Source organism: Homo sapiens, chromosome 1 (genome assembly GCF_000001405.40).
Source record: "Homo sapiens chromosome 1, GRCh38.p14 Primary Assembly".
Taxonomy (NCBI): Eukaryota; Metazoa; Chordata; class Mammalia; order Primates; family Hominidae; genus Homo; species Homo sapiens.
This window is the reverse complement of record NC_000001.11, coordinates 215,638,024-215,663,383: the sequence shown is the minus strand read 5'-3', so window position 1 is coordinate 215,663,383 and position 25,360 is coordinate 215,638,024. Positions and strand designations below refer to the sequence as shown.

The window sequence follows — 25,360 nt, the reverse complement described above, 5'->3', positions numbered from 1 at the left end:
TACTTAATTTCTGATAACTTCACCTTTCTCATTTAAAAAAATGGGTGTGTTATGAGAACTAAGAAATCTGTGTGTCTAGTAGGATGCCTGCTACTTAGTAGGTCCATGCCCCCATCCGATCCCCCCAGGATCTCACTAGTTAAAAGAAGGAGAAACTTTCATTCAAGACTGTAAAAAAGCCAGGTTAAGACATTTCTTTTGTCTATATCAACAAGTCATTGATAAAATGTTAGAGTGTAAAAATCTCAATCAGGAGTACAGTTGCCTCTAAAGGTGTGATACTCCTTCCGCTAGGAAGTTCAACCCTCCTCATCCTTGCCATTTCTCTTCTCAGAAAAAGAGTAATTTACCCACATACCCATGACTAAAATTCCAAACTCTGATAGTCTGACTCTACTTTTATGCAATTAGCTACTTGCTTTGTATTGCCTGTTTTCTATTGCTGTCACCCTTACCCCATCTCTTTTCTATATCACATTTAGAGAAAACATATTGAACACATTTTCTGTTTAGTTTTGGACTTGCATTTAATTAGGTATTAATCTCACTAATGTATTTCCGACCAGCATGGAGGTTTTTGTCTGGTTAATTTCTCCCACAAGAACTAAGCTCCCCACACCCACCCCAACTCCCACAGCTCAAGGTTTTAAATGATTTATTGATATTGTCTGACTCAGGCAGTGTATTTATTCTAAAACTTTAGGGCCTGAGTGCACAGGTTAGACTGAAGGCCACTGGGACATTTCCATGTATAGAAAACTAAAGTTCGCCACTAGGCCCAGGGCCTGATCATTTTTTGCATCGAGCCTTTTGTTCCCACGGGAGATCATTTCCACCTGTCAGTGTGAGCACATTCAGGAGCATGCTCTAATTCTTTTTGTTCTTGTTCCATCTCTCATGGCAACCCTTAGGACTTTATTCTGAAGCTTCTGTTGTTGGCAATCTTCATGGCGCCTTTGGGACAAGTTATCCATGTGAAGATGGGTTGGTTCTCACCCTCTTGCAGATGCAACTCAGATTTATATTTCACTTAAGGTGATGTTGATCTTCCTGTCTCTGTGTTGGAAGTTTGTTTGCTGAAAATAAAATGTTAAACACAACAGATGCTCTTCAACTGAATGTAGATAATATGCCATTCCAGCCTGCCCTCATGGCTCTTCAGATGGCCATGAAAACAAAGGCTCCCAAAGTCACCTAAAACTTAGGTCCTGTAAAAACATCTAGGAAAGGGTAAGATGTGTTTTACTTATTTTCCTCCATCCTGTAAATTGAGTATTTAATAAACTGTCCTTATTAAGCACCTACAATGTTCAAAGTGTATACCTAGTTACTAGGATTGAGGCAGGAGGCTAAAATCCATGCACTCTCCCCTTCAGGGACTTAAATTATAGTTGATAAGTCAAATAAAGATGCCCATGAATAATGTATCCATAAAAATATGGCTAGGAACGTTGATGTTTGCAGGATCTGAGTGATGGCAAAACAGACCCAGGGAGGAAGAAGCAGCTTCTTTATCTTCAGGGACAGCACGATTTCCACACCAAACTCTAAAGGCCACTCTTATTCTACTCTCTGGCCAGATGGTTTTGTGCAGGACAGGTGGCACCTTGATATTAAAGAGGTACTTGACTAAAATCATTCCACAGAGACATGAAGGGGCACCATTTCTCTGTTCCTTCAGTCTTACAAAAAGAAATCCCTTTCTAAATCTCCATCCTTATGTTTAGAAGCCTCTCTTAGCCCACCTACTGTTATTGGTACCCATGTAATGGTTCAAAATATTCTCCACTGTATCAATCGGGATCTCAGCAGGAAACATATGGCACATTCAAAGGGTATTTGAAGAAAATTTAATGAAGAGGCTATTTATGGAGGTGTGGGTAGAATTAAGAGAATCAATAAGGGATGTTGAAGTACCCAGGGAGTAGGAAGAGCCAGAAGCTGTTACCTTCTAGGCCTGCAGGGACAATGGAAGAAAGTGGGTCATTGAGAGGAAATTCAGCCTTGTCAACATGCAGTGCCAAAGAGAGGAGCAGGAGAAACAAAGAACCTGAACTCTCTCTTCCCTTTGATCAAAACCTAATGGAAAGGAGCCAGAGGAGAAAAGATTCCAGGTGAGGCAGTCTGATGAAGTCAGCATTCCAGAGTACAGACCAAGCCAGAGAAGGGCAGAGGATGGATCTGGGGAAAAACCAGCTCGTCCCCCACACTCAGATTGATGCTGCTTCTCAACCAGTATATAATAATGCCTTCACCAGTAGAATCCTTTCTGGGCTAGAGGATCACCTGGCCAGCTTTGGCTTGTCAATCTATGATTATTGATAAACCACTAAGTAAATCTGAAGACTTAAGGAGGATTGTACTTAAGTACTTGAACCAACAGCTTATTACCTTTAAATTGTAAATAAACATCTCAGGATATATGAAGCAATCTAATCTGCAGGTGGAAACAAAAATGTTAACACATTCAAATAAGTCAGATGCCTTAAATGGTAATTTGTAAGAACATAGTTGAGACTTCTTCTTGTTAATTGATTTATCTGTTGATGGAGCTGATCATTACTAATATGCCTATAAGCATCTAGAAAACTGTACGGTTCTCTCTTTGATTCCTATAGGCATATTTCTAATGGAAACCAGTAATAAAATTCTTTTCTCTAAAGAATCCATTGAATTGCTCTAATTTTTTCTTTTGTTCATGTTTGAGGACTTTTTGAGAAATTTTAACTAATTATAAAACAAAGTAGAGAAGCCATCCAATTAACAAATTTCATTGTAGAGCAATATTTTTGAAAAGCCAGGCTTTTATTTACTCTAACCCTCAAAGCTCTACAGTACAGAAGTACCTGGAAGAAAGATACACAGGGAGGTGTGGGCTAAATTCCAAATGCTGTGGGGAGTTTTCCAATCTTATTAATGTGTAACAACTAACTGGAATCCAGGAGTGAGTTGCACAATTGCTATCTAGCCCCACTAGATCCCCCAAACTGTTAAGTCATTCTCTCCTGTCTTTTCACACAAATAATGTGATAGTAATCACTATTATTTATTTAGGGTTTGCTGTGTGCTAAGGGCTGTGTTAAGAACTGCATGTATATTAACTAATTTAATCTCAAACAACCATTTGAAATAGGTGTTATTACTGACACTATTTTACAGGTGAGAAACATGAAGCATTGAAAAATTAGATACCATGCCCAAGGATATAGAGTTGATAAGTTGAAGGACTCAAATTCGAACCTTAAGATTCAGTTTCAAAGACTGGTTTCTTAAATTCTACCCCAACAGTTACCTCCAAATTGCATTTGTATGCAGCTTTGGGACTTTCAAAAATCAATGAAATATTTATAAATGTATTCATCCCCTACCCCATTCCTCAGAAATTTCTAGAAACAATATTGCATGTAAATCTTAAAATAGTCCTGTGGGATAGATGTTGTTATTTCTTAGCATAGTCAAGAACCTGAATGATTTAGCAAGTTACCTAGTCAAAAAGCAACAGAGTCAGAACTCAAGTCCTGACTTTCTGACCCCAAGTTCAAGGTGGCTCTGCTGAACTGCAGCTTCTTCAAGTCACCTCTATCAGGAGCACAAATTCCTGACCCTGTGAAGACAGACCGATTAGGGTTGCAGTCTAGGCTACATGAATTACCAATTCTGGATCCTCAGCTATTAATTTAAACTCACTAAACCTCAGTTTTCTTATCTGTAAAATTGAGATTAAAAAAACAAACAACAACAAAAAAAACTTACCCCAGGAAAGTTGCTGTGAACTTTAAATAAGTTGACTTTAAGGCTAGGGTATTGTCACTTACAAAAAAAAGTAAAATTTAATATATAAATACATAGAAGGTGTTCAGTATCCAGCATTCCTGCAAAATGAAAATCAAATAAAGTCACTCTCCTACTGCAAACCCTACTTCCCCCATTCCATAAGATGCAAACTCCTCTCTAGTTCCATGAGGACTTTCGTGGTCTCATTTTTGTCCAATTCTGTCCTCATCCCATTGCTTTCCGGCCCTTACTCACTAAGGTCAGCCACACTGGCCTTCTTGAGGATCTAGCCTTAAGGCCTTTGCACATGCTTTTCTTTTCCATAGAATGCTCTTCCCTCAGATCTTCATCTGGTACTTTCTGCCAATTGTTTCCCAGCTTGATGGTCATCTGTTGAGAGAACCTCCTGGATAAGCCAACCATTTTCTGCTCTATCACCTTATGTATATCACCCTACAATCTCATCATTTCCTTTCTAGCATATATCCTAACCTGTTTATTTTATTTGTGTTTTTATTGATTGCCTCTCCTCACCAGGATGTTAATGCCAGCCTTGTTCACTGTTGTATCCCCAGCTCATAGAACAGCATCTGGCATATAGAAATGGCTCAGTCAATATGTGTTGAATTCATGGATGATAAATGGTCTTACCTAATTTACTATCCTTCACGGAGATGTTAATCACAATTGGTGATTGTGATCTTAGCTTCTTCTAGCAACTTATTGTGGATAAAGTATATATTTTAATGCTATATCCATTAGGGTATAGTTATTATTGCAGAGAACATAATGGAATTTCAATGCATTTACACATGTTTGAACAGGATGAAATATATGAGTAGTACTTGCTTCTGTGTAATATGCAATATTGCTGAAAGCATGATAAGTGGCACGAGAGATGGATGTCACGTTGTTTGTGATAGTTTCCCCTGTCTCACTTTTAGGCTACCCTCCACAGAAAAAGCCAGTCCACGCAGGGCTCTATGAAAAGCCCAGGACAGCAACCCACCCATGTGGAAGGTGTGTACAGGCCTTCTTTTAATGGCCTTATGTAGGAAGATGTAAAGAGTTTGGGCTTTTATGTCACATATCTGTATTGGAAAGCCAGCCTTACCACTTACCAAGTTGCATAAATTTCTGTGTTCCTCAGTTTTCTCATGTGTAAAGTGGGGATAATAATACCAACCATATAGGATTGTCGAGAGGAAAAATGCAAAATTAGTACATAGAATACACTTACAAAAGTGTAAGTGCTCAATAAACCCCAAAACTACTTTTACATATCCTCCATGAGAGTCGGATGGGGGTGGGTTCCTGTTTCCTCTTAGGGAGAGCAGATATAAGAAAAAAAAAAAAGTATGTGATAACTCCAAATTTTGATTATTTAGTTTTATTGTTAAAAGTGAATCAGGGTTGGGAGGCCAAGGCGGGCGGATCACGAGGTCAGGAGATCGAGACCATCCTGGCTAAGATGGTGAAACACCGTCTCTACTAAAAATACAAAAAAATTAGCCGGGCGGGGTGGCGTGCGCCTGTAGTCCCAGGCTACTCGGGAGGCTGAGGCAGGAGAATAGTGTGAACCTGGGAGGCGGAGCTTGCAGTCAGCCGAGATCACGCCACTGCACTCCAGCCTGGGCAACAGAGAGAGAGAGACTCTGTCTCAAAAAAAAAAAAAAAAAAAATCAGGGCAAATTTCAGTATTTCACAGTGTTAGGTCAGTTTTTCCTTCTTCAGGTATTAGAGGAGAACCATATTCACAAGTATTAAATGGCTCCAAAGAGCAAGGCGGTATGAGAAGCAGTAGCGACAAGACACCCAATTCTAGCATGGGAAATGTCTTGTTATTTTTCCAGTAGCTTCACGTCTCTGAACTTCAAAAGTGCTCATGGAAAGCAAGACAATGTCCTGCTGTACCCTCTTCCCCTGGGTCCCAGAATTCAATTAAAATCACGTTCTATCTTGCCTAATCCAAAGTGTTTTAGATGAAGGGAACCTGGAAAACGGGACTATATCTGTAAAAGTGTGACTGTATTGTATCCAGCAAGGTTCTATGCAGATAGAGATGCTGGAAAACATCCATTTGATGGTGAAAGAAAATCAGATAGATAGACAGTTAAATAAATAGCTCCTAGAGCTTTTCAGCACATTATTCCTTCATAACTGGAGCCTGCAGGGCTACTCATGAAATAAAACAATCTTGTAATCATGTAATTTCAAATTCATTGCATTGTCTTTTTTGCCAACATTCTTTAACCGCGATTCCAGCAAAGAAGATTTCAGCATATTGCTATTCAAACATATTCAAAACCTATGACAAGCTACCCTTTAAGAAGGCATTAGCGTGAGTGCCATGGGAAAATGTACTCCAAGGTTGTAGATGAATTGATATGATCTCCTTGATTGTATCTTTTTATTTATGAGGCATAATTTCTGAGCACTGGAAAGCAAACTGCAATGAGTGATGACTAACAACAACCAAAGTCATAAATCAGCAGCAGTGAAAGAAGTAGTGATTTTGATCGAATCTATTGAATTAGCTGTTGGCCTTAGCCAATACAGGTATTGGAAAGACCTTTTTAATATCTATTTGTCCCCCTCATGGGAATGTGATAACAATCTCATTACATGCCCCTAGGAAACAAATAATTTAATTGTTTGCCCGTTAACATACAACCTGTTTACTTATTAATTACTGGCATAGCTGTTCATGCTAGATTTTTTGTTTATTTCTGATGTGAATTGTTACAAAATTATGTTCACATTCCTTAGTTTTTATAAACAATTATGTCTCCTTAGAGCTTCTTGATATAAATTTGTCCTCAGAATTGTTGAAATGCTTTTTTTAATCAAATATTGTCATTATCCCACAAGGAAGTATGTTACAGAGTTTCACAGAAGTTGCAGAGAGCTCAGATATTCTTCCCTCTCTTAATCTCTGACAGTTAACACTTTTACTAATACAACTCTTGTAATAAGCAGCCTGGATAAAGAACAAAAATCTCAAATTGCTCCAAGCGTAAAGACAGTCATCATCACTTACATTAGGAGTTAACAGATTAGAGATCTTTTGTAAAAGATTAATCGGCTGAATTTGGTTACTCCTGTATTACAATTTTATGAGGAGAATAATAGCAAATGTAAGACCAAATAGACATCAGCTTGGTGCTGACCCATATACAAACCATCCATAAACCATATATTATGAAGTATGTTCCCTTGATTTGAACAAGACTTGTAGCATTGCCTTGGCCAAAAGAATCATAAAATATTTTCACAATTTAGGGGTTTTTCTTATGATACCATAAAGGAAAAATGCATCAGGAACCCCCTTGAAATGTACATTAATAACTTAGCTTTGCTGTAAGACAATACTTGGAAAACATCAGTCCTAAGGAAGGTTATTTCAGAAAGATATGAGACATTGAGCGAGGCAAAGCATTAAGGTGAAAACTACTTTGTTTAGCCAATACAGGCATTAGAAAGACCTTTTTAATATCTATTTGTCCCCCTTATGGGAATGTGATAACAATCTTAACAAGTTAAGTGTGGAAATTGTGCTAAAAAATAACTAGCACAGGCCGGGCGCGGTGGCTTACGCCTATAATCCCAGCACTTTGTGAGGCGGAGGTGGGCAGATCACTAGGTCAGGAGTTTGAGACCAGCCTGGACAACATGGTGAAACCCCATCTCTACTAAACTACAAAAAATTAGCCAGGTGTGGTGGCAGGCACCTGTAGTCCCAGCTACTCAGGAGGCTAAGGCAGGGGAATCACTTGAACCCAGGAGGTGGAGATCGCAGTGAGTCGAGATCGCGCCACTCCATTCCAGCGTTGGTGAAAGAGCGAGACTCTGTCTCAAAGAAAAAAAAAAAAAAAAAAAAAAAAGAATAACTAGCACAGTAACAGAAGCATCCAAAGGGTCACCATTCTTGGAGATTTCTGATACATTTCCCCTTCTCCCATCCTGTGCAGACTGATGGTCCCTTCTCTTTCCCATTCACAAAAATTATTACAATGCTTCTGTTCACAAATGTTTGCTTTTCTCCTAGAATAAAATTAGGAGGAGAAATGTTGGGTTGAGAGAAATTGGGAGCATTTAGAATAATGTTACTCTGCACTGAGAGAAAAATAGACTCAGCAATTTCTAGAAATATCAAGGTTTCAAGAAATTACTCCTTAAGTGAAAATTAGGAGGCAAGAAGTGGTTCTACAAAGTCAGTAAACTCTAGTTCTGTTTGGAACTGTGAAAAAACACAGTAATTAACTCTATGATGATTATTGAATTGTGACATATTCCAAGATACATTTATTGTGTTTATTTGAATGACTAAAGTTAATGTGAAGTATAACTCTAAAGAGACATAACAAATAGAAATTGAAAATGTACAGTGCCTATATTCTGTACCTGGCTCTATAAAGAATAGGCCTTTGTATTTTTCAAATAATATTGGGTGTAAAAAGCGCTTGGAAATATGTTGAAAGGGCAGAGTCCAAGGTCTTCTCACCAGAAATTCTGATACAGGTACCCAAAATCATTTTGATGACCATGGCTAAGGAATATATTGTGACAAAGACTTCTCTTAAAAGAAGATTTCTAAGAGGCAATTTTCAAGAGAGAACAAATGATTAAATTCATTGTTTTCACAGCAATGTGATTATGGCAGCTTAGTGGCAGATGTTGACACTCCATGTAATTAAAAATTTTTAAGGCAAAATACAATAATTAGTCCTTTGGGGTAGGAAAGAGTAAATAAAAGAACAATTTCATTTTTTTAATGAACAACAAGCATAAATATGGTAATAGTCTCTAGTTAGATTTAAAAATATATTACATTGAAAACAGAAATTCCATTGAAAACTGACATATTAATCTATCATTTTGCTAGTTAATTACAGAATTTGTGGCTAAACAATTTTAGTTTTTATGCTTATTAAAAGTAGTTAATCTATGTTTTCTATGACATTTTACATTGTAACTTTCTTCATGGTTACAACAGAAACCTTAGAGAAATAAATCAACAAGTCAGTCAGTCCTAACTTTTCATTATTAACGACTAGGGAAGTTTCTGACTCTACAATCATAACTGTGTGTGCACCCACTCATTCACATGTGAAAGTGTTCACCAAACCCAAATAATAATGTATTTCAGCAGCAACTTTAATCATCTTTAATCTTTTATTATAAAAGAATAAATATGTTCAGTCTATGAGAACACATGGACACAGGGAGGGGAACATCAGACACAGGGAGGGGAACATCACACACCAGGGCCTGTAAGAGGGTGGAGGCTGGGGGAGGGATAGCATTAGGAGACATACCTAATGTAAATGATGAGTTCATGGGTGCAGCAAACCAACATGGCACATGTATACCTATGTAACAAACCTGCACGTTGTTCACGTGTACACTAGAACTTAAAGTACAATAATAAAAAAATATATATATGTTCAGTCTAAACACTGTAGGAACAAAAATATCCTGAATAAATCAAAGATGAAGAACATCTTGGCTTTTTTTTCTCTTGGCCATAGAATTTATAAGCCTTACTTGCTTTTCTTCCCCAATAATAACTCTTCCATTTTTCTAGGAGAAGCCCACACACTAAAGAAAGAGAAAATACACAACTGTTTGTTCACAAGATATTTTATTTATTGATTTTTATATGGGTTCATTGCAACTAAAAGATCGGGACATATTGCTAAAAAGTTTTCTATGTGGGATCTCTGCTGCTTCTTTCTCTACCCTATAAAGACAGAATCGAATCTTGGGGCATTGTTTCTCAGTGGGAATCATAAGCATAACCTGTTAGTATTTTTACCCTGAACCCTGAACTACACTTCAATACTTTTATCTCTTGCTTAGCCGGGCATAGACAAAAATCCACAGTGATATTTTAGACAAAGAACGTTTTTACCTCAGCAGAGACAGAGACAAAGACAGAGAGACAGAAGGAGACAGAAAAAATATTATTCACAGGTTCTTTTTTCCTTTTCTCCTAGTGGTTTGATATAACAGAGACACTGCCTCATCATACAAGTTTTGTGAAATTCATAATGCTTCATTATCTCAGTCAGCTTTCTCTTCATTCTGTTTTCATTTTCACAGTAGCTCATGTAAATAGGTTGATCCTGCTTTGCATAAGCATGTTGATTTATATGAATGCTATTTTGATCTCAAATTGATTGAATACTAAAAAGAAAGTCTAGGAAAAAGAGTAATGTATTATGAAGGACTCCTGCCAAAGACAAAATAGCCTGCATACATTCCCTATTAGTGATGGGGAATTTTGAATTGCCTGGTTTTCAAAGAGAATATTTCCAAGGAAATATAGCAAAACACTATAATACTGAGGCCCAAGTGTTTTTAAAATCCAGGGATTAAATCACATTTTGGAACTAGAACTCCACCTAGTAGAAGTTCACGTAACACAGGAAGGCTGAGATTTAGTACAATCTACGACACTACCATTAAAAAGCCTTAATAGTATTTATGATTCTATATCTACATTGAAAATGAAAGAAAAGTTAATGTTCATAAGCCAGAGCCAGAACTGTGCTGAGCACTTGCTATGAATTATGCTTATTTCATCTCATTTTCTTTCAACACCCTATGCCTGCACTACTTCCATCTCCTATTGGTGCACAGTAATTAATTGGCAAGTTGTTGAATTTTTCTTTTATTATACCTAGTTGCACTTTCTTCCTCATTTTCCTCCCCATCCATTGTAGCCTGAATTTAAATTCTGCCTGCGCTCAAATCACCAACCAAAGTTCTGCTCTTGGCAAAAAACGTCATATCAATATTTGCACCTTACTTTGCATTCCTTTGTCAAGAATATTGTTTTAAATCTTGTCATTCATTGTGTAATAATAGGTGTCCCCCCCACCACTTCCCAGAAAGATATTTGCAGTAAAAGAGGTTGTTCTGGGGCACAGTGAGGAGACAGGAACCCTCCTCATCAGCCCTGAAGTCTGACTTCTTCATGAATAACCTCCACCTCCCCTCCCTAGTGTAAGTCTGACCTCACCTATTTCTGAGGGGACTCTGAGAGCAGCTGCAGTTGTATTCTGATGGATGGACTCTAACTTCCATGAAATCTGGCTCTCCCATTGCTAGCTCCTTACTTCCCTGTGCTTACCAAAACAAACCTCCCTCACCTAAGACAACTTGTACATGTCTATCCATCCTTGCAAGCTAAGACACCTTAACCTAATCTAGAATTGCAGGTATTCGTCTATGGACAAGTCGTTTAATTTTCATGATTCTGACTATTTTATTTATGCATATGGATGGCATACAGAATCAAAAACCCTGCTCATTGAAACAGGCACTGGAGAGCAGAATTCTTGTTTCAGCACTTGTAACTTTTGTCACCTTGAACAAGATAGTGAAATTTTCTGAGGCTCAATTTCCTCACCTTTAAAAGGGGACTAGTAATACATTCTCGGCTCACCTTACAAGGTTTCCATTGGAAGGACTAAATAAGCTGACATAAGTTAAAGTGCTTTGTGAAATGTAGAGTTTATACAAATGTGAGTGATTATTATGCAAATGATGAGAGGATGTATCCGAGCTCTAAAAAGAGCAGGTGTATCTATGTAAGTAGGTTAGTTGTCTCTTTTAAAAAATGAGGCTCCTGGCAATCCTATCAGCAAGGGGCTGGAGATTTGCATTTGACAGCAACCTGAAAACAATTCAACATCAGAAAATTTACTTTCACAAAGGAATCCGGAAAAAAAGAAAAGTATGAAAACCACTGATAGGAGTTGACCTAACTACTAAAAATCTGTCTAATGTTTCTTCTCTTGAAGATATTATTGATGCAAAAGCAAAGTAAACAAAAATGAAACTAAACTCTCACTGCAAAATATTCTCATAGGTTTTTTCTTTTTTTCCCCCACAAATATCTCCTATTTTGAACATTCTGCATGCTTTTTTTTTTTTTCAATACTGCATGCCTGGAATGTGTGTACTGTAGAATCAAACAAGTTTTTCAGATTTGTCTTTAAAAGCTCGGGGGCAAATTTTTAGAAAATATATAATGTAGAAGAAACACAATGAGAAAAAAATTTCCTGAAGTTAGGCTTTCACATGAAAGCTTACTAAGGAATACTACTACTCCTAAACACGCAGACAGTCTTCTTGTATTGCCATTTAGATCTATCATTCTGATTGATCACTGTGTAGTTGGCTATTATTGGGCCTAATTTAACCCTATACACTCACACATCCATCTACTCTGTCTATTGTACCTGACATTCTACAAATTACTTACTCATGCAAATGACGACCTAAGGCAACCTTTTAGGATATTCGTGTTTAATTATACAAATGGTTCTTGATAAATAAGATTATACATCGTTCCATATGTTTATTCCCTCCTTGATGAAAGGAAATTTAATTTTCATGCAGATTTGGTGGGGACAATGTTTAAGAATTGCTGAGTTTTTTGTAGTCTGCAGATCCATCCAGTCTGCAGAAGCTGACAAAATCACTCCACTTCCCACACAGAGATGAGCAGTTTTTTCATTAGGCTTAAATCAACGTGCTGCATTCTGAAATCCTAAACGGCCCCCTTTGTGTTCACATGGTCAAAGGCAAAAGGCAAAAAATAAAAATAAAAAAGGAACAGCCTGCTCTCCTTGCTCTCCTGTGTGATTACAAGGTTGCAAGATCAAAGTTTATCTCTTCCTGTTGTGTTTAGTTGCTTTTGGTTGCCAATTTCGTTTTTTTTCCTTTCTTTTTTTTTTTTTTTTCCCAGCCTTAGGGTATCTTGCTTTTGACAGTCTTGTTGATTTCTCTTTGGAGGTCTGGGCAGTGAATTCTGCAGGAAAAGCCCCCAGTAGCTGGACATGGTGCAGAACCGGGCCAGCCCCACCAGAAGGTCTCAGAGCCCCCACGTTCCATGTGATCTCTTCTACCCAAGCAGTGGTCAACATCAGTGCCCCTGGGAAGCCCAACGGGATCGTCAGTCTCTACAGGCTGTTCTCCAGCAGCGCCCATGGGGCTGAGACAGTGGTGAGCAGCAGAGCTAAAAATCCAGGACTGGTTGACTTTTAAAAATCATTACTATGAAACCTTTGTTTTTATGTTTTTGTTTTTCCCTCCATCTTTCTTATCCTTCTGTTCTCAGTTGCTCTACGGTGAACTTAGTAGCACAAATATCCCTCAGAGAAGAAAAAGTGAACCCTGAGGAAACATACAGAAAGTATGTAAACTCTTAGGGAGAGGGATGCTAAAGGTGGTATTAAAGACTCCACAAACGTAAGAAACTAAGACTTTAAAGGCAATCACACTAATTTAATTTAATTTAATTTAATTAGAAAACAGATCAACCACTTAGAGTGGTGGCACATAGTAAGAAGTTGGCAAATGGTAATTATTGGTGGTGTAAATGTTAGTATGAAAACAAAATAGAGCAAAGAATATCCTTGGAATCTCTATTTTGACATGCACAAATCTCTAATAATACATGGAAAACTCTCATTCCTCTGGTGATTTCAAGAAAGTTCTAACCCTTTAGAAGAGAGAGCAGAGCAGCTCCATCAGCATAGCCCTAGCTCCACTGTTTGTTCGTTAACACGTTTGAGGCACACTGGGAGACAGGAGAGATTGCTCAGGGAAATCATCTTTCACATTGTGCGTTAGCCAAGCCACTTCCCGGAAGCGATGCTAAGAATCAACTAGACCAGTTCCTGCATTATTTAAATGAAGATACCAGCAGCCAGCACGATGAAGACTCTTGTCTCTGTGGTATAGCTTGTGTCACTCTCAAGTTTCTCATGAATAAGTGGAGATTATAATACTTTGTTCACACAAACATTGTATAGAGATTGTGCAGATCCTGGTATTACACTATGCATTATTTAGGCCAATTTAGGGAACAATTTGGGCAAGTGTGGAGAATTCCTCTGAGACCAGAGTGTCAGGTATTGAAACACAATTTCAACAGATAACTTACATACAGGGAGGCTTGGATTGAATGTTAAAGGAATATTAGCATATTTTCTATAGGGCTTCGTACTCAATAAATATAGATGATGTAAATACAATCAACCCTTGATTATCCATGCTTATAAAATGATAATAAACTAAAATAATTTATATTTGGAGGGCATTGTATGCATTTTTTAACAGCTCTTCTTAATCATATGTTCTTTATGTCAACATGAACATTAATTTCAGTTTCTGAACTCTTGTTCCGAAGAGTACTTATTAAAACCACAATGAGGTTAAAAATTTGCTCAAAATAAACCAAAACTTTATAATCCTACAAAGATGATTGAGAGAAGACTATGATATTTTGTAAAAACCAACACCCTCAGAGGAAGAGATAGACTTTCAAGCCCTCCAATACTTATACCTGATTTTAATGTAGATCTGAAAAGATTTTTTGACTGAGAAATTGCATGCAAGTAACCATGGCAGAATATGGACCTTGGTGAATGCTGACTAGACATATAATTGGAAGGCAGATTTTGTTTTTTGAAAAGACATCACTCTGAGGGTCATAGACTTTGATCAACACTTTGTGTGTTCCGTGCCATTTTCTAATACCTTTCTAAGGTAATAGATAATCGATAATATTATGCCTTGTGATTTCCATCCTGCTACCTCAAACGTCTATTTAACGGTTACATTATCAGATTTTTCACCTATTTGTCATACCTCTCTAACTGAGTTGGTAATTTTTTGAGGATAAATGTCATGCTAAATGCCATGTTGTGTCTCCCAGAGTGCCTGGCATGGTACTCCATTTGTAGGAGGTGGGATCTTGGATAACATTCATCAAACACCTTTAATGTTTGACACTGCCTTTATCTAGCCTTCCTTCCTTCCACAGCTATCCGAAGGCATGGCCACCCAGCAGACTCTCCATGGCCTTCAAGCCTTCACTAACTACTCTATTGGAGTAGAGGCCTGCACCTGCTTCAACTGTTGCAGCAAAGGACCGACAGCTGAACTGAGAACCCATCCTGCCCCACCCTCAGGACTGTCCTCTCCACAAATCGGGACGCTGGCCTCAAGGACGGCCTCCTTCCGGTGGAGTCCCCCCATGTTCCCCAATGGTGTCATTCACAGGTAATGGGTCAGGCAGAAGGATGAAGAAACTAACAAGGCATGTGTACAGACATATGAACTCATGGTATAGCCTACTCTGCACCTAGGCTACAAACCTGTATAGCTACCTGGCACTCCCCAGGGAGGACTTGCTTATTGAACAGATATCTATAGCAAAGTAGACAAACAAATTGATTTGAGTGGTAATGTTACCTGCGATGTATTTAAATCATAAAAGCAACTAATGATAGAAAGGAGAACAACGAAATGTTTTACATTAAAAAGACAATGCAATGTGTTCGTATTCAATATGCTCTTCCTAATGGTTATCTGGAAGCATTCCTTCTACCAGCCTTCACTGGAACATAAGATACCTCCACAGTTAAATCAGAATTGCCCTGATCTAATTTAAAATATTGTCATAAACCACTGTTTGAAAGGAAAAAGAAGACACTTGACTCAAAATCATTTAGAAAAAAAATTATTTACTCTAAAAAGAGAAGAACCATTTATGTCTCTCCTCTTAAAAGAGGGAAATGTCTTATCTCTACCAAAAAGGATCACTAGTTGCTGGGTAAACAGCAATGTGTGTGTAGATGGTGACTTCTCTTATCATTTCTCTGGTTACATCTGCTGCTCGTTTCCAATAGCATTACATAAGGTGTTTCTGAGAGCAGTTTCCTGCAAATGGAAATTTTAAAGAGCCTGTAGCTCTGTGAAAACAAAATGTCTCCTCACAAAATAGAACTGGTTTTAAAAGAGAGAGTTAAACTAATTCCATTACCCGTCTTGACTCTACGTATCCATTCTCATTTTAGCTATGAACTCCAATTCCACGTGGCTTGCCCTCCTGACTCAGCCCTCCCCTGTACTCCCAGCCAAATAGAAACAAAGTACACGGGGCTGGGGCAGAAAGCCAGCCTTGGGGGTCTCCAGCCCTACACCACATACAAGCTGAGAGTGGTGGCACACAACGAGGTGGGCAGTACGGCTTCCGAGTGGATCAGTTTCACCACCCAAAAAGAATGTGAGTATAAGTGGCTGCTACCATAAGCCAGAGAGATTGGAATGTGGTCAGGAGAAGCTTGCCCTGAAACTCGGAGAAGCCACTTTTAAAAACAGATTGAGTGGGCTCAATAACACTGAATGTTACTGAAGCATTGATGAGGATGACTACTGAGGAAAAATGCCTACTGGATTTAATAATATGGAAGTCAAGGGAAAATTTAAGAAGGATTTTCTTGTGGGGATAGGGTAAAAATAAATTTAGGGGAAGTTAAACGATCAATGGGAAGAAAGAAAATGAACAAACACTGGTAGACCATTTTTATAAGAAGTTTTGCTACTCCTTTTCTTTGTAAATTACATGGCATAATCTCTAGTATGTCCAGAGAGCATTGAGACATAGCACTATTAGGAAAAGCAAAAGGGCAAGTGAGTGAAGGAAAGAGCAATCAACTAATTAATTGGGGGCTTCCTTACATTTTTATATAATACAGTCACGCATCGCTTAACGATGGAAATATGTTCTGAGAAATGCATCGTTAGGCGAGTGTCGTGAAAATATCATAGAATGTACTTGCACAGACCTACATGTTATAACCTACTCTGCCCCATAGGCATGTGACTGTGCTGAATACTGCAGGCAATTGTAACACAATGGTTATTTGTGTATCTAAACATAGAAAAGGCACAGAAAAAATCTGATATAAAAGATAAGAGGGCCAGGCACAGTGGCTCACGCCTGTAATCCCAGCACTTTGGGAGGCCAAGGCGGGTGAATCACCTCAGGTCAGGAGTTCGAGACCAGCCTGACCAACATGGTGAAACCCCATCTCTACTAAAAATACAAAAATTAGCCAGGCATGGTGACACATACCTGTAATCCCAGCTACTCAGGAGGCTTAAGCAGGAGAATCACTTTAACCCAGGAGGCAGAGGTTGTAGTGAGCCGAGATCACGCCACTGTACTCCAGCCTGGGCAACAGAGCAAGACTCCTTCTCAAAAAAAAACAAAAAATGTAAGAGATGGTACAGGGCAGCTCCATTATAATCTTATGGAACCACCATCATTTCTGCAGTCTTGCTCAAAATGTCATTATGAGATATATGACTATAACTTAGATTTTATAAGGTATATGCTTTCATTGTTTAATAATGGCAAACACAAAAAGTATTAAGAATAATAAGTGCTTATCAGAACCAACTGCATAATTTATGGAGTCCAGTGGAAAATGAAAATATGGAATCCTTTGCTGAAAAATCTTTAAGAATTCCAAGACAGTAACAGTACAGCATCAGGCTAAGTCCAAGACTCTTCTATGTCACAGGCCCTTGCAACAGCACAGGTCACATGCCAAGGAAGCTGGTCCAGCTTATTATACCCCAACCCAGAGGCAACCACTACTAATATTTTGGCATAATCAATTCTTTTAATCTCCTTTCTATGGGTAATTTTTACTATATGGCTGAAATACTATAACTAAAATTTCATAGTCAGCTTTTTATACTTGACGTTATTGTATTTGCATTTCCCGTGGCATTAAAAAAACTCTTTAGCCACCAATTTTAATGGCTATACAATATTCCATATATAAATTAATTGGGACATTTTGTTTTTTTTTTAATTTCCCATTAATAAATATGATGAAAAAATCTTTGTGAACAGATCTTTGAATGTCTGGTTATCTTCTTAAATTAAATTTTGACAAATAGAATTTGCTATTAATACATCAAGTATTTTAATATTTTAAGGCTTTGGATACTAGTTTCATGTTTGCTTTCAAGAAAGATTATGTCAGATTATAAATCTTACCTAAAATACTCTATCTGGCATTGAATATGATGCCAATTTTAAAAGCAAGAATTACGCATTCATAAAGACCAATGTCTCACACAAGGAGCTTAATGTGTCTGAGCAACAACATGGTAGGATGTTAGTAACAGATCACATTTACAGAGGACTTGTTTGTTCCTGGCAGTATTTTAGCATTTTACAAATAATTCTTACAACAGACCTATTATTATCCAAATTTACAGATGAAAAAACTGAGGCAGAACTATAAACTGTGTACTGCGATTCCAGGATGCCATTCATATAGACTATGATCTGAACTGAGGCTCTTGGAGTTAGACAGTGACGTGGCCCTAAACTAAGGCCAGAGCTTAAGTAACCTGGCCAGTTTCCACATCTAGTAAGTGCAGTAATTACTCTGAACTCATGGTCACTGAGCTCAGCTGCTGTCTCAGTACTACTCTTTCCCTGATCAATTCATTTCCTACTCTCTGTAATCAAGACTTCAAACCATCTCCACCTTCGCCAAACCTCCCTCTGCCGCTCACCCTTTCTCCCTTCATGCCCACAACCCAGCTCACCCATTTCTCCCTTTATTCTCTGCAGAACTCCTTGTCTTGTAATTTTCCAGGAAAAGAGATGTCTTCAGTCAGTAATTTGCTCCACTTCCCACTGCAGACAAAGCTACCTGCATATACCCCATTGCTGTCAGTGACAAGGAAAGGGTGGTCCTTCTTCCGTCTGAAATAAACCTGCCTTCCATGCAGTGAACTTCATCCACTTCATTACTCACCATCCCTTCTCTCTCCTTAATCTTTCTGTGTATCTCACTTTGATTCAAAGTTCCTTCTACCCTTCTAATGTTAAAGCAAACAAGCTCCTCTTCCCCTGCAGTGATGTGGACTCTACTCTCTCTGACAGCAAAACTTTCCTGAGGAACGGTCTGCAGATGCTTTGCCCATATCCTCTCTTCCACTTACTCTTTAACTTCCTCAGCACTGGATGAAAATCCCTTTCTAAGTTTGCCTTTGGCCTCCATACTGATATATCCAGAAGGCATGTTTCTCCAGGAGTCACCTTCACTGACTTTCCAGTAGCATTCAACGCAACTGAACTTTCAATGTTCAATCCTTTTTTAAAAAGTGGTTTACCCTCATTTTCATTACCACCCTCTCCTGGTTTCTCCTCTACTTCTTTGGATTTTCATTTTTAGTCAACTTTGTTGGTTGATCTTCTTCCGCTGCCCAAATCTTAATCCTAAACATTTTAACTTTGTCCCCTTGCCGTTTCTCTACTCCCTCCTTTCCTCCTCCCTCATCAGGTGAGTTCATCTGCTCCAAGGCTTTGGTTCCAAAAGCCAAACTCCAGTGGTCACCTCCTAGTCAAGTGCTCTGTTTTGAAGTGTATACCCCTCCACCCAGATTCCTCACAGACATCTCCCTCTGAATTTCTCATAACCAGCTTACATTGGACAGGCCCCAGACAGAGCTTGCAACTTTCCCCTTCAAGCTATGCTTCCTTTAGTCCTCACTTTCTCCATTTTCATCTCCAGCACTGGGCACAGTATCTTAGATTCCAATCAATGTTGTTTAATGAATAAGCGAGTGCACCTAACACTGCATGTTTATTGTTGACACTGCTCAATCAGCATTTTTTGTCACCCATACTATATTCAAAGCAAACTGTAATGATTCTTAATGTGTGCTGTCTGATTTTGTAATCTCCTTTGCACTACATCCAGAAGCCAATTTTGCTAAATGTTGCAGTTTTTTGGTTGATGTGGCCAGAAAGCCAGAGAACAGCTAGGTGAGCTTTGTAATTTATAACCAATTCCCTTTTGAGTCATGAAGCTTAGCTTTTGCCAGAATTTTTTTTTTCTTATGCTTGGAAGAACAAAGTGAACTGATTTAAGATTTTCTTCCTGTGGCCAGGCACACTGGCTCACACTTGTAATCCCAGCGCTTTGGGAAGCCAATGGGGGAGGATTGCTTGAGGCTAAGAGTTCACGACCAGCCTGGGCAACATATCAAGACACCTATCTCTACAAAAATTTTTTTTTTAAATAGCCAGGTATGGTGACATGCGCCTGTAGTCCCAGCTACTCAGAAGACTGAGGCAGGAGGATTGCTTGAGTCCTGGAAGTCAAGGCTGCAGTGAGCTGTGATCATGTCACTGCACTCCAACCTTGGCAACAGAGCAAGACTTGGTCTTTAAGAAAAAAAAAAAAAGGATTTTATCTATTTGTGTTTTTTTATATTGGAGAAGCAGCTTAAACCTGGACTAGCACCATAGGAGAAGAGGTTCCCTTAATCCACTACTGGGTCAATAGTTACGGAAAAATACAAGAAATGACTATGATACAGGTTCTAAAATACCACTTATGCTACTTTTAACTCATTATAAATACTGGGAGCACGAAAACATGCACCAGAGAATACAAACCAGAAAATAATTTGGGGCCTGGTGTGGTGTCTCACGCCTGTAATCTCAGCACTTTGGGAGGCAGAGGTGGGCAGATCACTTGACGTCAGGAGTTTGAGACGAGCCTGGCCAGCATGGTGAAACCCCATCTCTACTAAAAATCCAAAAAAATTAGCTGAGTGTGGTGGCACACACCTGTAATCTCAGCTACTTGGGAGGCCGAGTAGTGAGAATCACTTGAACCTGGGAGGCGGAGGTTGCAGTGAGCCGAGATAGCGCCACTGCACTCTAGCCTGGGCAACAGAGCAAGAGTCCAACTCAAAATAGTAACCATAATAATTTAAAAATAGAATATGCAGTTTTATATAGATGTGATCACATGTACACTCAGCAACGGGTCTGGAGAAGAAGCCTAACAACACATTTAGTTCCCTCTGCTTGAATCCCCCTTCAGTGGAGAGAGAGGTGAGGTGTAAATGTTTAACAGCTGGCCTGCTTGAGGGAAAAATGGCCTGATTTGAAGTGCTTATCAGTTTCCATGGTGTGAATACCCCCATTACTGCTCTCAAGTGACCAACATGACAGCACTGAACAGAGTTAGGAAGGGATGGGTTGTAGCGTATCATTATATAATATTTCCACCAGCCAGATAGAGTGGATGTAAATGACCTCGAGCACACAGACGGTAGTAAAATGTAGTGAAACAAATAAAAAGTTATGAATTTGGAGTATTTATAAGCTTTGTTTTAATATAATTTATTTAAGTTTATATAATTTAATTTTTAGTAGTGGCCGGATTTAACAATGACTCACAAAATTCCTGAATATTTAACAGTTGGGGTGAGCCAACTTCAGCACACCACTGGAGAGCACCCATAGGGTGAATTGGTAAATTCTGTTCTTTTCAACAAATGTGTACCGATGATAACAAAGTAGCATGGGCCTTATTTAAGCAAGCCTAGGTTCAGCTCCTTGGTCTCCTACCAGCCACTGACATAGAGCAAGATATTTGACCTCTCTGAACCTGAGTTTTCTCACCCCAAAAATTAGGAATCAATCTTTACAGGATTATTTTGAGGATTAAATGAGATAAAGTATGTCAAAAGCTAGGAGCGTAGTGGTACTTACAGCTTTTTCAGTCTTCCTTGGGGAGGATTTGTAAACTCATTATTCTCGATTATTTTAATTGCTTACTCTTTTTCCTCAGGAAGGTCTCCAAACCCTACAGGACAAATAAGACTCCTATCTTTCTATTTTCTTGCTAGTTACAAGCTGTTTCTTTATCTGTGCTGTTATGATATAGGGAAAAAGTGAAAATCTACTGAACTAAGGTGATGGAGAGAAGTCATAGACAAATAACAATAGAGTATTCCTTGTGATATCAGGCAGAATCAATGTTGGAAAAGCATTGAGATTTAAAGAGGGCTTGATAACTCTTGTTTTGGTGTTTGCAGAAAATTTTTCTTATGGCTTTATGAAAATATCTTATTTTGAAAGATAACAATCAACTGTGTCTTTACGGTTGAATATTACAATTACAAAAGCATAATTATTCCTTATTTTGTTATATTTCCTAACATCAGAAATAGATGGATTGATTTTTAAAGAAAAAGAATCAGATTCAATTTAGTCTCACTACTCACTCCTTTCTTTTCTTAAAAGCCAATTTGGTATATAGGTGAATCTTAATGTTTTTACAAATATATTGATTATTTTGTAGAAAATAAGATCTCATGAAATAAATCTCTTCTGACTTGACAAGATGACATGGTATCCCTTCATTTGTTTCCACAAAAATTATTCATTTAAAAGGTGAGCCCCAGTTAAGGATTTTCTTTTTGTTTTAGTAAGGAACTGAAAAATCAAGAGAATGTGCCTGTGAAATGCACACAAAGTTGCTTCTATATGTGATATAATACTTAGGACACCTGAGCTTGATTATATACTAATGTACTATGCTATTGATTGATTAGTCAGGGCCATGAATTATTATACTTGAATTACTGTTTGCAAGGCTTTTTAACTATCTTAGAAAACAAACTAACAGTTTGAGAAAAAGCTTTAACAATAAATGGGTGCCAAAAGGACGTAATTCACCATCTAAGCAGTTTGGTTTGGAGAAAAAAATATATTAACTTCATCTAGTCCTTGGGGCTTTGTGGCAATAAATATTGATTTGATATGAAAAATAGCTATCTACTGTACTTAATAGTATTAAGGATACTTTACCTGTTAAAAAGAGGGAAAATGCAACAAAATATGAGCTCCAGGGTTATGCTGGTGAGCAGATCCATTGTATGTTAATAGTTTTATTTATAAAACACCACTCTCTATCGATTTTTTTTAAAGCAGGCATAAAGTTGCTGAGAAAGCATTTCACACATGTTCCCATTGGTTTTCTTTTCACCCCTGATACTGGTTGTTTCGTAATACTGAGGAAAAAGTGAAGGATTCTAGCAATGTTGGTTTTCTTTTTTTTTTTTTTTTTTGTTTGGATTGGTTCGGTTTGATTTTGCTCATATTTTTTTTTTTTAAAGTGCACACCTGCACTCCTTCAAAGAGGTTACCCTTTTTAGAACATACAACTTTCTCCCCACAGTGCCTCAGTACCGAGCCCCATTTTCGGTGGACAGCAATTTGTCTGTGGTGTGTGTGAACTGGAGTGACACCTTCCTCCTGAACGGCCAACTGAAGGAGTACGTGTTAACCGACGGAGGGCGACGCGTGTACAGCGGCTTGGACACCACCCTCTACATACCGAGAACGGCGGACAAAAGTTAGTTTCTGACTCCTGTTTCTCAGTGTGGAAGGCGCTCTGTTCCCCAGCTTTACGGGATGCTAAATCTGAAAGCTGACCAGCAGATGCTCACCATTAAAATGTCTTGGTTTAAGTGCCCCCTTCTTGTGAAAAAGTTACTGCTCAGGATAAATAAGGTTTTCTTTCCTTCCCATTTGCAGCTTGACAGCACTGCAGTTATAATGCAGTTCAAGGGGACAGCGCTGCCTCCACAGGACTGGAGGGTCCCCAGGAAGGGATAAGACCCAAGGGCCAGTTGGGTTCACAAAAGAAATAGCACCCATACATAGTCAATGACTACCCTAAAATAATACACTTCTAGCAACTTCATAGATTTTCTTGCTGTATCTCCAGTCTCCAAACAGAGCCCTATCAGGAAATAACTATCTCCAACTCATGAGGACCTGAATAAGGGGTTTCCTTAACCTTCCTTGATATCAGCCCCTGAAAGAACAATCTTGACCCTCTAAAATGGAGTTCCTTCTTCCTGTTTACTTACATGTCCCTTTTCTCCTTGCCTTGTTTTTAAATTGAAATGAGAAAATGCTTTACAAGGTGCTAAGTATTTTATAGTGATCAGCATGCTCACAGGACCAATGTTCACTATATAATGAATTGATTAATGAGTATTTTATTTTGGCTGTAAGGTAGAGGTAAACAGTGAGCTCCAGCATTGCATGTATAGTAATAGAAACTTAATAACATTTTTACAAAGATTCAGCTACACATGTTCATTGTTACAGTTCATGGTCACCTGGGCAGCTCTTTGGGAAAGGAAGGTGGCCTGATGGTTGGGAGACACAGGTTCTACCTGGCCAGGCCTATAACCATCTGTGTGACCTTGCAAGGGTCACTTCCCTCAGGTTCCTGGCCATTGGAAGAGCAATTTAGACCATGTGATTTCTAGGATCCCTTTTGAGCTCTCCTGTTCAGTAAGAAACTCTAGGTCATTTAGTGGAAAGTACACCTGTAAATTTTAAAGGAAGGATTTAAACCGTGTGCAGAACAAGATGCGCTTTGTGTATTACCCTTTACTCGTCTGATGTTCTTTTCCTTTGCTGTATAAGCTCTAATTTTCCTTAGCTCTATTACTTATGGATAGGCTATTATTACACTAATGATAGCTTTTTTTCTTAAACATTTTAAAATTAGAAGTAATTTTGAATATTATATAAAACGTCATAACTTGCTTTGGAATCCTATTTTTCATGCTATGATGCATTGCTCTTTTAAAAGCATGTGCCCTATTTGTAGGTGTTGAATGAACAAGTCATTTACCAGTTCTTCCTTTTGTCTAGCCTTCTTTTTCCAGGTCATCTGCACGACTGACGAAGGAAGTGTTAAGACGCCGTTGATCCAATATGATACCTCTACTGGACTTGGTAAACAACTCATATTATACTTGGCGTAGCACCTATTCATCTTCCTCAAGAAACACACATATGTTTGTTTATACATACTTGGAGTCCTAATATATTAGCATAGACTATACAGAAGAAATTGTGCCAAGTGTTGTCAGAGTTTTTTTTTTTGTTTTTTTTTTGTTGTTGTTTTTTTTTGAGACGGAGTCTTGCTCTGTCACTCAGGCTGGAGTGCAGTGGTGCAATCTTGGCTCACTGAAACCTCCACCTCCTGGGTTCAAGCGATTCTCCTGCCTCAGCCTCCCGAGTAGCTGGGATTACAGGCACGGGCCACCACACCTGGCTAACTTTTTGTATTTTTAGTAGAGACATGGTTTCACCTTGTTAGCCAGGCTGGTCTGGATCTCCTGACCTCGTGATCTGCCTGCCTTGGCCTCCCAAAGTGCTAGGATTACAGGCATGAGCCACTGTGCCCAGCCAGAAATTTTTTAAAAAGTCCTCATGGAACTTATATCAGGCAAGGAGTTACAATACACTCTTTTTTTTTTTTTTTTTTTGAGACAGAGTCTTACTCTGTTGCCCAGGCTGGAGTGCAGTGGTGCAATCTCAGCTCACTGCAGCCTCTAGCTCCAGGTTCAAGCGATTCTCCTGCCTCAGCCTCCTGAGTAGCTGGGACTACAAGTGTATGTCACCACGCCTGGCTGATTCTTGTATTTACAGTAGAGATGGGGTTTCACTTTGTTGGCCAGGGAGGTCTCGAACTCCTGACCACAGGTGATCCACCCACCTTGGCCTCCCAAAGTGTTGGAATTACAGGCGTGAGCCACTGCACCTGGCCAGAATGTACTCTTAAAATGCCAAATATTGAATTGTAAATATGGAAAAGACCAGAGAGCTCAAACTAAATTTTTCTCCTAACCACAAACCCTGTCAATAAAGAATTGTATGACTTCGCGTGCATAAAGGTGATTTACAGAGGAAGTTAGAGGAGAGATCAGAAGAAGAAAGAAAATATTCAGCCAATTCATGTTGATCATAATGTTAATATTCTAGATTCAAAGCCTAGAATGATAAATTTGGAAAGTGTCTTTTATTCTCCATAAAAGATTATGATTGACTGTTGATATCGGGTAATTTAGCTCAACGGGTACA

General features: G+C 38.6%; 1 protein-coding gene across 1 annotated transcript in view; it reads left to right on the top strand.

Moving 5' to 3' along the window:
• Positions 1–25,360, top strand: part of USH2A (usherin) — an 800,558-nt gene that overhangs the window by 760,065 nt on the left and 15,133 nt on the right. The window contains exons 65-69 of the mRNA NM_206933.4: positions 12,583–12,792; positions 14,618–14,856; positions 15,654–15,862; positions 22,650–22,826; positions 24,146–24,229. Coding sequence (NP_996816.3) covers positions 12,583–12,792; positions 14,618–14,856; positions 15,654–15,862; positions 22,650–22,826; positions 24,146–24,229 — 919 coding nt within the window. The remainder of the gene's footprint in view (positions 1–12,582; positions 12,793–14,617; positions 14,857–15,653; positions 15,863–22,649; positions 22,827–24,145; positions 24,230–25,360) is intronic.